Source organism: Homo sapiens, chromosome 2 (genome assembly GCF_000001405.40).
Source record: "Homo sapiens chromosome 2, GRCh38.p14 Primary Assembly".
Taxonomy (NCBI): Eukaryota; Metazoa; Chordata; class Mammalia; order Primates; family Hominidae; genus Homo; species Homo sapiens.
In genome coordinates this window covers 110,233,341-110,245,531 of record NC_000002.12, presented here as the reverse complement: position 1 = coordinate 110,245,531, position 12,191 = coordinate 110,233,341, and the positions used below count along the sequence as shown (strand labels likewise).

Genomic DNA, 12,191 nt, shown 5'->3' with positions numbered 1-12,191 from the left:
CCTTCCCTGGCGGCGCGCTGGGCCCAGCGCAGGGAAGCGGATCCGGCAGGGACGGGGAGTGGGACGCGCGAGGGGCAGCAGGGGTAAGAGCTCGGGCGGGTGGCCGCGTGGGTTAAAGGTCAAAGGTCACCTCCGCAAATGGCACCAACTGTGTAGCCTGGCAGTGGGACTTTGTCCAGCTTTCTGATCAGTAGAATAGAAGGATGCCTTCCTCCAAGACCTGTTTGGAGAATTAAACCAGCTAATGTAGGAGCCACGGCTGCCGCTGGGGAGGGCCCAGTAATTATTAGTTCCCTCCCCGTCCTAGGGGACCCCCCAGGAGAGCGTAGTGTGGGCTCCTAGTGGGGCCTCTCGAGGCAAATACCTCCCGAGAGGGGGCGCGCGCCCTCCCCTCTTCCCATGGGGCGCCCCCAGTTCCAGCCTGACCTGGAACTCAGGGTTGCCAGAGCTGCTGAATTTTCAAGAGAAAGCGGAAATCTGAGTTTTAATGAGACCGCTCCTGATTTTTTAAAACGTTGATCATGAAGTTAAAACAATAATAATGGTAAGTACTTGCCGGCCAACTGTCAGGTAAGCCCTGGCGGGCAAAGCAGGTGGTCCTGGGCTCCTGTACCAACCAACTTCACTGACTCCTCCCAGAGGAGGGAGAAGCCTGGCGGGACTGTGACAATCCCTGTCACCTGGCATGAGGTGTGATGTCCCTCTGGGTGGTTCATCAAGACTTGGTGCTAGGCCAAGCCAGTGGCTCATGCCTGTAATCCCAGCATTCTGGGAGGCCAAGGCGGGAGTGACAAGTGAAGCCAGCTGGACTTCCTGAGTGCAGTGGGGACTTGGGGAACTTTTCTTACAAGAGGATTGTAAAATGCACCAATCAGGAACTTTTCTGTCTTACAAGAAAATTGTAAAACGCACCAATCAGTGCTCTGTAAAATGCACCAATCAGCGGTATTCTAAAAGTAGCCAATTGCGGGGAGGATTGAAAAAAGGGCACTCTGATAGGACAGAAACGGAACATGGGAGGGGCCAATAAGGGAATAAAAGCTGGCCACCACCGCAGCCGGCAGCGACAACTGCTTGGGTCCCGGTCAGCTTTGCGGAAGCTTTATTCTTTCTGTTTTCACAATAAACCTTGCTACTGCAGGGTCCCTGCCATCTTTAAGAGCTGTAACACTCACCAGCAAGGTCCATGGCTTCATTCTTGAAGACCAGGAACCCACCGGAAGGAACCAACTCCAGACACAAGAGGATTGTCCAAGCCCAAGAGTTTGATACCTGCGTAGGCAACATATCCAGACCAGATCTCTTTAAAAAAAAAAAGAGCTGGGCATGGTGGCAAACCTATAGTTGGCTAGTCTAGGCAGAGATGAAGGATGGCTTGAGCTTAGGAGGTTGAGGCTGCAGTGAGTGGTGATTGCACCACTGTAATCCAGCCTGGGCAACAGCAATACTGCTCTCTAAACATAAAAAATTAAATAAAGACTTAGTGCTAGGTGCTGATTTCTGGCAAGTTCCAGGTGGGAGACTGGCAGGCAGCATTATAGTCCTCTAAGAGAATTCAAACCCTAATTTCTGGGACTATGAATCTGTTACTTTACAAGGCAAAAGAGCCTTGTGGACAGGTTTCTAATCAGTTGACTTTAAAATAGGGAGGTTATCCTGGATTTATCTGGGTTGGCCTGGTGGAATCACCCTTAAACCCTAAAGAGCAAGACAGGGGAGAGGAGACATTTGAAGCTTATGAAAGACTCAGTGTGCCTGGATGGGACGCTGTTGCCTCGAGGATGAAGGGAACTGCAAGGAACTAAAGTTCTGCTGACAATTTGAATGAGCTCGAAAGTGAATTCTTCCCCAGGGCCTTGCAGAAAGGAACACAATTTGCTGACACCTTTATTCCCACCTTGTGAGACACCGAGCAGAGAATCCATGTGGCAATGTGTTATGCAGCATAGAAAAGTAATACAGGACACTGACCTGCATTGCAACACCAGAATTGTGTCCTAGCTGGAGGCTGGCCTGCAATGAGAACTGCATGTGGCCACAGTTTCTCGGCAGGCATGCCAGGCATGGCACTTCACCCCTCTCCTCTGACTGTTACCACTCAGTTCTAACATCCCCTGAGAGCCCTTCCTCAACTTCTCCAGGCCAACAGGTGGCTTCCTTTCTGTGCTCACCACACCCTTCGTGAAAACAGCTACTTGGTGCTTCCTTTGATCTATGTGCACATGTTGCCTGCTTCCCACCAGGCCACAAGCACCTGTGGGAGGAAGGGAACTGGAAACATTTGTCTTTGAATCCCAAGCCCCGGGCAGACAGCAGGCATATGGTGGCTGAAATGGTAAAGTGAAATTTCTACCAGTGTGTAATCAAAGGTCCTTGTCTACAAGGTATCTTAATTACCTTTTTTAAAAAAGAAATTCAGTAGTTTTGGGGGAACTGGTGGTTTTTGTTACATAGATAAGTTCTTTAGTGGTGATATCTGAGATTTTGGTGCACACATCATCCGAGCAGTGTACATTGTGCCCAATACGTAGTTTTTTATCCTTAACCACCCTTCCCCCATTTCTCCGGTGTCCCCAAAGTCCAATTTGTAATTCTTATGCCTTTGAATCCTCGTAGCTTAGCTTCCAGTTATAAGTGAGAATATACAATATTTGGTTTTCCATTCCTGAGTTACTACACTTAGAATAATGGTTTCAAACTCCATGAGGTTGCTGTGAATGCCATTATTTCATTCATTCTTATCACTGAGTAGTATTCCATGGTGTATATGTATATATATGTACACATATACACCACGTTTTCTTTTTCCACTCATTGGTGGATGGGCATTTAGGCTGGTTCCAAATTGTTGCAATTGTGAGTTGTGCTGCTATAAACATGAGTGTGCAATATCTATTTCATATAATGACTTCTTTTCCTCTGGATAGATACCCAGTGGTGGGATTACTGGATCAAATGGTAGTTGTACTTTTAGCTCTTTAAAAAATCTCCACAGTGTTTTCTATAGTGGTTGTACTAGTTTACATTCCCAACAGCAGTGTAAAAGTGTTCCCTTTCCACCACATCCACATCAACATCTATTGTTTTTTGATTTTTAAATTATGGCCATTCTTGCAAGAGTAGGTAGTATCTCATTGTGGTTGTAATTTGCATTTCCCTGATAGTGATGCTGAGCATTTTTTCATGTGTGTGTTGGCCATTTGTACATCTTCTTTTGAGAATTGTCTATTAATTTCCTTTGCCCACTTTTTGATGGGATTATTTGTTTTTTTCTTGCTGATTTGTTTGAGTTCCTTGTAGATTCTAAATATTAGTCCTTTGTGAGATGCATAGTTTGAGAATATTTTCTCCCTCTCTGTGGGTTGTCTGTTTACTCTGCTGATTATTTCTTTTGCTATGCAGAAACTTGTAACTTAATTAGGTCCAATGTATTTATTTTTGTTTTTGTTGCATTTGCTTTTGGGTTCTTGGTAGTTAACGAACTCTTTGCCTAAACCAATGTCTAGGGTAGTTTTACTGATGTTATCTTCTGGAATGTTTATGATTTTGGGTCTTAGATTTTAAGTCTTTTTTCTTTTCTTTTCTTTTCTTTTTTTTTTTTTTTTTTGAGACAATCTCACTCTGTCACCCAGGCTGGAGTGCAGTAGAGCAATCTCCGCTCACTGCAACTCCCAACTCTCAGGTTCTCATGCCTGAGCCTCCCTAGTAGCTGGGATTACAGGCACCCATCACCACGCCTGACTAATTTTTTGTATTTGTGGTAGAGACAGGATTTCACCATGTTGGCCAGGCTGGTCTTGAACTCCTGACCTCATGTGATCTGGCCACCTTGGCCTCCCAAAGTGCTGGGATTACAGTTGTGATCCCCCATGCTCGGCCTAGATTTAAGTCTTTGATCCATCTTGAGTTGATTTTTGTATAAGTTGAGAGATGAGGATTCAGTTTTACCCTTCTACATGTGGCTTCCCAGTTATCCCTGCACCATTTGTTGAATAGGGTGTCCTTTCCCCACTTTATGTTTTTGTTTGCTTTGTCAAAGATCAGTTAACTGTAAGTATTTGGCTTTATTTCTGGGTTCTCTATTCTGTTCCATTGGTCTACTTGCCTGTTTTCATACCAGTACCATACTGTTTTGGTAACTACAGCCTTGTAGTATAAAGTCAGGTGATGTGATGCCTCCAGATGTGTTCTTTTTGCTTAGTCTTGCTTTGGCTATGTAGGGTCTTTTTTGGTTCCATTTGAATTTTAGGATTGCTTTTTAAAGCTCCATGAAAAATGCTGATGGTATTTTGATGGGAATTGCATCGAATCCATAGACTGCTTTTGGCACCATGATCATTTTCACAGTATCGAGTCTACCCATCCATGAGCATGGAATGTGCTTCCATTTGTTTGTGTTATCAGTGATTTCTTTCTGTCTTGCAGTTTTTCTTGTAGAGATATTTCGCCTCCTTGGTTCAGTATATTCCAAAGTATTTTATTTTATTTTTTGCAGCTGTTGTAAAAGGGATTGAGTTCTTGATTTGTTTCTCAGTCTTGTTGTTGGTGTACAGCAGTGCTACTGATTTGTGTACATTGATTTTGTATCCTAAAACTTTATTGAATTCATTTATCAGATCTATGAGCTTTTTGGGTGAGTCTTTAGGCTTTTCTAGGCATACAATTATATCATCGGTGAACAGCAACAGTTTGACGTCCTCTTTACTAATTTAGATGCCCTTTATTTCTTTCTGTTGTCTGATTGCTTTGGCTAGAACTTCCAGCACTACGCTGGATAAAAGTTGTGAAAGTGGGCATCTTTGTCTTGTTCCAGTTCTCAGGAAGAAAGCTTTCAACTTTTCCCCATTCAGTATCATGTTGGCTGTGGGTTTGTCATAGATGGCTTTTATAACCTTGAGGTATGTCTCTTGTATACCAGTTTTGCTGGATTTTATCAAATGCTTTTTCTGCATTGATTGAGATGATCATATGATTTTTGTTTTTAATGCTGTTGATGTGATGTGTCACATTTGTTGACTTGTGAATGTTAAACCATCCTTGCATTTCTGGTATGAAACCCACTTGATCCTATTGTATTACCTTTTTGATATGCTGTTGGATTCAGTTAGCTAGTATTTTGTTGAGTATTTTTGCATCTGTGTTCATCAGGGATCTTAGTCTGTAGTTTTCTTTTATTGTTATGTCCTTTCCCAGTTTTGGAATTAGGATGATACTGGCTTCATAGAATGATTTATGGAGGAGTCCCTCTTTTTCTATCTTTTGGAATAGTTTCAGTAAGATTGGTATCAATTCTTCTTTGAATGTCTAATAGAATTCACCTGTCAGTCCATCTGGTTCTGGACATTTTTTTGTTGGCAATTTTTTTTATTATTGTTTCAATCTTGCTAATTATTGGTCTGTTCAGAGTTTCTATTTTTTCGTGATTTAATATGGGAGGAATTTATCCATCTCTTCCAGATTTTCTAATTTGTGTGCATAAAAGTGTTCATAGTAGCCTTGAATGATCTTTTGTATTTCTGGGGTATTGGTTGTAATATCTCCAGTTTCATTTCTAATTGAGCTTATTTGGATCTTCTATCTTCTTGGTTAATCTCAGTAATGGTCTATCAATTGTGTTTTATCTTTTCAAAGAAACTGCTTTTTGTTTCATTTATGTTTTGTGTTTTTAATTTTAATTTCATTTAGTTCTGCTCTGATCTTTGTTATTTACTTTTTTTCTGCTGAGTTTGGATTTGGTTTGTTTTTGTTTCTCTAGTTCCGTGAAGTATGATGTTAAATTGCCTACTTGTGCTCTTTCAGACTTTTTGATGTAAGCATTTAATGCTTTAAACTTTCCTCTTAGCACCACTTTTGCTGTATCCCAGAGGTTTTGATAAGTTGTTTCACTGTCATTGTTCAACTCAAAGAATTTTTAAATTTCCATCCTGATTTCATTGTTGACCCAAACATCATTCAAGAGCAAATTATTTAATTTCCATGTATTTGTATAGTTTTAGGGGGTCCTTTTGGAGTCGTTTCCAGTTTTATTCCACTGTGGTCTGAGAGAATACTTTATATAATTTCAATTTCCTTAAGTTAACTGACTTGCTTTGTGACCTATCATATGGTCTATTTTGGAAAATTTTCTATGTGCTGAAGAAAAGAGTGTATATTTTGCAGTTGTTGGGTAGAATCTTCTGTAAATATTTGTTAAGTCCATTTGATCCAGAGTTAGTTTAAGTCCATTGTTTCTTTATTGACTTTCTGTCTTGATGACCTGTCTAGCACTGTCAATGGAGTATTGAAGTCCCCCACTATTACTATGTTGCCTTCTATTTCATTTCTTAGGTCTACTAGTAATTATTTTATAAATTTGGGAGCTTCAGTGTTCGGTGCATATGTATTTATGATTGTAATATTTTCCCATTTAACTATTTCTTTTATCATTGTATAATGTGCCTATTGTCTTTTTTTTACTGTTGTTGCTTTGAAGTGTGTTTTGTCTGATATAAGAATAGATACTCCTGCTCACTTTTGGTTTCCATTTGCGTGGAATATCTTTTCCCACCTCTTTACCTTAAATTTATGTGAGTCCTTATACATTTAAGTGAGTCTCTCAAAGACAGCACACACTTAGTGGTGGATTTTTATTCATTCTGCCATTCTGTGTCTTTTAAGTGGAGCATTTAGGCCATTTACATTCAACATTAGTATTGAGATGTGAGGTACTGTTCTATTCATCATGCTAGTTGTTGCCTTAATAATTTTTTTCATCGTGTTATATAGGCCCTGTGAGATTTATGCTTTAAAGAGGTTCTATTTTGATGTATTTCAAGGTCTTGTTTCAAGGTTTGGAACTCCTTTTAGCATTTCTGGTAGTGCTGGCTTAGTAGTGGCAAATTCTCTCAGCATTTGTTTGGCTGAAAAATACTTTTCTCTTTTTCATTTACGATGTTTAGTTTTGCTGGATACAAAATTCTTGACTGACAATTATTTTGTTTCAGGAGGCTAAAGGTGGGACCCCAATCTCTTCTGGGTTGTAAGGTTTCTGCTGAGAAGTCTTCTGTTAATCTGATAGGTTTTCCTTTATAGGTTATCTGGTGCTATTGTCTCACAGCTCTTAAGATTGTTTCCTCTGTCTTGGCTTTAGATAACCTGATGACTATGTGCCTAGGTTATGGTCTTTTTGCAATGAATTTCCCAGGTGTTCTTTGAGCTTCTTGTATTTGGATGTGTAGATCTCTGTCAATGCTAGGGAAGTTTTCCTCAATTATTCCCTCAAATTAGTTTTCCAAAATTTTAGATTTCTCTTCTTCCTCAGGAACACCAATCATTCTTAGGTTTGGCCATTTAACATAATCTCAAGTTTCATGGAGGCTTTGTTCATTTTTTAAAATTATTTTTCCTTTGTCTTTGTCTGATTGGGTTAATTTGAAAGCTTTGTCTTTGAGCCCTGAAGTTCTTTTTTATACTTGTTCAAGTCTATAGTTAAAATGTTCCATTGCATTTTGTGTTTCTCTAGGTGTCTTTCATTTCCAGAAATTGTGATTGTTTTTTCTTTATGATATCTATTTTTCTGGATAAATTTTCATTCATATCCTGTATTTTTTTATTTCTTTATTTTATTTATTTATTTATTTATTTTGGGTCACTCTGTCACCCAGGCTGGAGTGCAGTGGTGCAACCTCGGCTCACTGCAACCTCCACCTCCCGGATTCAAGCAATTCTCCTGCCTCAGCCTCTCAAGTAGCTGGGATTACAGGTGCCCACCACCACACCCAGCTAATTTTTGTATTTTTAGTAGAGACGGGGTTTCACCGTGTTAGCCAGGATGGTCTTGATCTCCTGATCTTGTGATCCACCCGCCTCGGCCTCCAAAAGTGTTGGGATTACAGGCGTGAGCCACCACACCTGGCCTTCAATTTCTTTACGTTCGTTTTCACCTTTCTCTAGTATCTCTTTGAATAGCTTAATAATTGACCTTCTGAATTATTTATCTGACAATTTAAAGATTTCTTCTTGGTTTGGATCCATTGCTGGCGAGCCAGTATGATCTTTTGAGGGTGTTCTAGAACCCTGTTTTGTCATATTACCAGAATTACTTTTCTTCCTTCTCAATTGGGTAGACTAATACAGTGGGGAGATCTGAAAGTCAAGGCCTGCTGTTCAGATTCTCTTGTCCCACTGGGTAACCCCTTGATGTAGTGCTCTCCCCTTTCTTCTAGGAATGGGGCTTCCTGAGAGCTGGACTGCAGTGATTGTTATTTGTCTTCTGGGTCTAGCTACCAGTGAGGATACCAGGCTCTGGACTGGTCCTGGGGGATGTCTGCAAAGATTCCTGTGATGTGATCTGTCTTCAGGTCTCCAAGCCATGGATACCAGCACCTGCTCTGGTAGAGGTGGCAGGGAAGTGAAGTAGACTCTGTGAGAGTCCTTGGTTATAGATAGGTTTAGTGTGCTGGCTTTCTTGAATGCTGGTTGTCATAACAGTGAAATTGTCACGTGGACATCTTCAGGACCTCTGTTTAGCCAGGATGTTGCAGGCAGTAGAATTAGGTGTTGTCTTCTCCTTCCTAAGATCAGCATTATTCTGTCATGAGTTGCTGTAATGGCTTGAGTTGGTTGGCCTCCAGCGACGAGGTGGCACTTTCAAGAGAGCACCAGCTGCCATAGTAGTAGGGGGCTCTAAGCTTGTCCTAAGGTGGCCAGGGTAAGCATTTTGGTTTCTCAGGTGATGGGCATGGCCATAAAGCTCCCAAGAGGTTCTGTGTTTTGTGCTGGGCTACCAGGGTGGCTAGGGAAATACCATCAAGTGGGGGCAGGGTTAGGTGGGTCTGGGGTCAGACTCTCCTTGGACAGGGCTTGCAGTAGCCACTGTGGGGGAATGAAGGAGTGGTTCTTAGGCTAATGGAGTACTGTTCTAGAGTGGATCTTGGCCCTCTGCTGTGTTATATAGTTTTCCAGGAAAGCATTGGATAGCCCTTAATACGAGCTCTCGCCCAGTTCCCAAGCAGTTGGCGAGGTCGGTCTCACTCCCACAGTGCTCCTGCTCAGGCCGTGAGCTACCCTGCTGAGAAAGCAAGCGTGGCTTAAGGACCTCACCCCTCCCTGTCTGCCCACTCTGCCAGCAGCAGCTCCTGCACTCCTGCACTCGCTTGCTTGTATCCACAGCAGTTCCCGCTCATCCTCCAGACTCTGCTCGAGAAAGTTTGTGCCCGGTCAAAACCACTACCAATTTCAGTTGAGAGCTTCCTTTGCCCTGCAACTCCTCTCCAGTTCCACTGGCTGCCTTCCCTGAGTGGCTGTGTGAGATACAGTCAGGGATGGCTTCCTAGGGCTCAAGCTGGAGACTGGGAGTCCATTCAAGGCACTTCCCACTACTACTCTCATACTTTTATTTTTCTTACATCTCCCTAAACTCATTTCATCTCTGGTTAAGATTAAATCCTTCTCCTATGATCTGGATTTTTAGATTCCCCAGTGGGGATGTGTGTTCAAAGGTAGGTTTCCCCCTTCTTACACTTTGGGAACTCACAGTTTTTCTCCTGTTCCACAGAATTTACAGTGGTGTGCGTCTTCTTTCAAAGGATCCGTGAATTCTTTTGGTTTTCCCAGTATGTTCCTATGATAGTTCTTGGAGCACAACAGGGTCACAGTGTGAGTCTCCACATGGTGTTTTGTCCATCCATGTGGGAGCTACACATTAGCACTGCCTCCTATCTGCCATCTTCCCCTGATCTCAACAATTACCTTTTATAACTGTTTATTGCGTGGATTACCAGAAAACTCTCTGGTGCTCTTGAGAAAGGACAAATATTCTAGGTCTATCCTAAGTGGTGACTTAAGGAATGATTGTTTTATGGCAAGATCTTTTAAAATGGCTTTATTTTTTAAAAAAGATAAATATGTTCATTGTAAAGAGTTGAAACTACTAATCAAAGTTAATCACTTGCACACACTTAAACACACTTGTATGCAGCTCTGTGGAGATGGGATTACATCCTACACCACAGACACTGCTGACCTCTGACCTACTATCCACACGCTTCCCACCCAAGATCCCAGACTTGGGTCAGGCATTCATCTCATCTCTCTCTTTAAAGGAGGATCCTGCTTAGTCCAGGCCAATCCACACAGGGCATTTTCCTGGCAACAGTTACCTATCTAAGGGAAGTACATGACTTTAGTTGGCTCAGCCTGACTAAAAAGAGCCATGAGCTTAGGGGGAGAGGTTTTCTTCTTCTCTTCCCTCCCCTTTTCCTATGAATGTAATTTTTAAAAAACCACATATTCCTAACAGCTTCTCCAGCCACCTTGGGTGAAGATGACACTGTGGATGGCAGAGGAGGAAGATACAAACAGCCAGGTCTCTGATGGCCTCTTCAAGAGACTACTTTTTGGTACCTGCATTCTTGGAACCATTTGGACCAACCTTCAGACTTAGAATTATGTGAGCTATATTGTATGACCCAGGAGACAGAATGAGGTGATCTGTACAGCCAATAGGAAAAGATCTACAAAATATCAAATGAGGATGGGAAGATAGTACCCTGCAGAGTTTGATTTATGCAGAATTTTAAAGGATGCATATACTTACATTTTCTGATAAATGCATAAAATATTTTCCTGGAAAGATCCATAAGTAAACTGTAATCAGTGCTTACCTTTGAGAATACAGCAGGAAGTAGAGGCATGAAGGGAAAGGGACTTTTTCTTCTCATTTTGTACTTGTCTATAAGTTTTTTTTGTTTTGTTTTGTTTGTTTGTTTTGAGACGGAGTTGCGCTCTGTTGCCCCGGCTGGAGTGCAGTGGCCTGATCTGGGCTCACGACAAGCTCCGCCTCCCAGGTTCATGCCATTCTCTTGCTTCAGCCTCCCTAGTAGCTGGAACTACAGGATAAGGTTTCATTTTTAACTGTATGCCTACATTACTTGTATGTGTTTGCAGAAAGTAAAATCAACAGAGATGTGGTGATAGAATCTAATAGCAATTTTGTCATTTTCATGAACAAATATTTTATGCAATGGAAAATATTAAAACTCTGGGAATAAAGCGTGTTAATGCCTGTTCCTGGTTGCATATCTGCCAGTGGGGAGAATGCATCCTTGCAGGGTGAGGAGTCAGCCTTAGAAAGCAAGGCCTTTAGGAACCAGTTACCACTAAGCATACCCTATAACAACTCTTTGAGGTGCTGGTTTAGTCTGCTCAGGCTGCCATAACCAAGTACTCCCAGCCAAGTGGCTTAAACAGTAGAAATGTGTTTCCTTACAGTTCTGGAAGCCAAAATTCTGAGATCAGGATGCGGCAGGGTTGGTTTACAGTAAGGGCTCTCTGCTTGGCTGGTAGCTGGCCATCTCCTCTCTGTGTCTTCACACGGTGCTCCCTCTGTGTGTATCTGTGTCCAAGTTTCCTCTTCTAATAAGGACAGTCCTATTGGATCAGGGCCTGCTCTAAGGACCTCATTTTACTTGGATTACCTCTTTAAAGACCCTACCATATTCTGTGATACTGGGGGTTAGGACTTCAACACATGAATTTTGAGGAGATACAATTCAGCCCATAAGAAGTACTGATTACAACATCCACATTAGAGCTTAGGAAATGCAGGTTCAGAGAGGAGCATCAGACTGCCTCAGGTCACACAGCTTGAAAATGGCAGCACTGGGATTGCAAACCCAGACCTACTAGCACAGAGGCATCTCTACTCTACTCTGCAGCTACTAGGTAGTTTCAGCTGGGAAAATGAACAAAGTCCATATTCAGCCTGAGAATTCCACCCAATTCTATTTGCCAGTTATCCCCTAGATTCCACAGGATTTTGTGGAATTCTTTTTAAAACACTGCAATGTGACAATCAAGAGGTAGGGGCAAAGTCAACAGTGGTGGTTGAAAATAGAGGCCAAACCTTCTCCAATGCCTTCACAAGGCAGGGCACGCAGGAGCCCTGCTGTCTTTGGCTCCATCTCCTTCCCCTTCCCCTCACTCACTCCACTCCACTCCAGCCTCAATGGCTTCCTTTATGCTCCTCAAACATTCCCCAGGGCCTTTGCTCTAGCTATTCCCTTAGCCTGGATGATGCATTCCCCAGACACCCAAGTGTTTGCTCAGATCGTACCTTCTTAGGGAGGCAGACCCTGATCCCCACCCTACTGAACTCTTCAGCCCACCGCTGCCCTCCTGCTCCCCTCCCCCTTGATCTTTTACTTCCTTGC

At 42.4% G+C, this 12,191-nt stretch overlaps 1 long non-coding RNA gene across 1 annotated transcript; it reads left to right on the top strand.

The window, feature by feature from the left end:
* Positions 1–213: 213 nt before the first annotated feature.
* On the top strand, positions 214–11,046 carry LOC124906059 (uncharacterized). Its single transcript, XR_007087175.1, has 2 exons — positions 214–544; positions 10,280–11,046. It is a non-coding gene; the product is annotated as an uncharacterized LOC124906059 (long non-coding RNA).
* Positions 11,047–12,191: the final 1,145 nt, after the last annotated feature.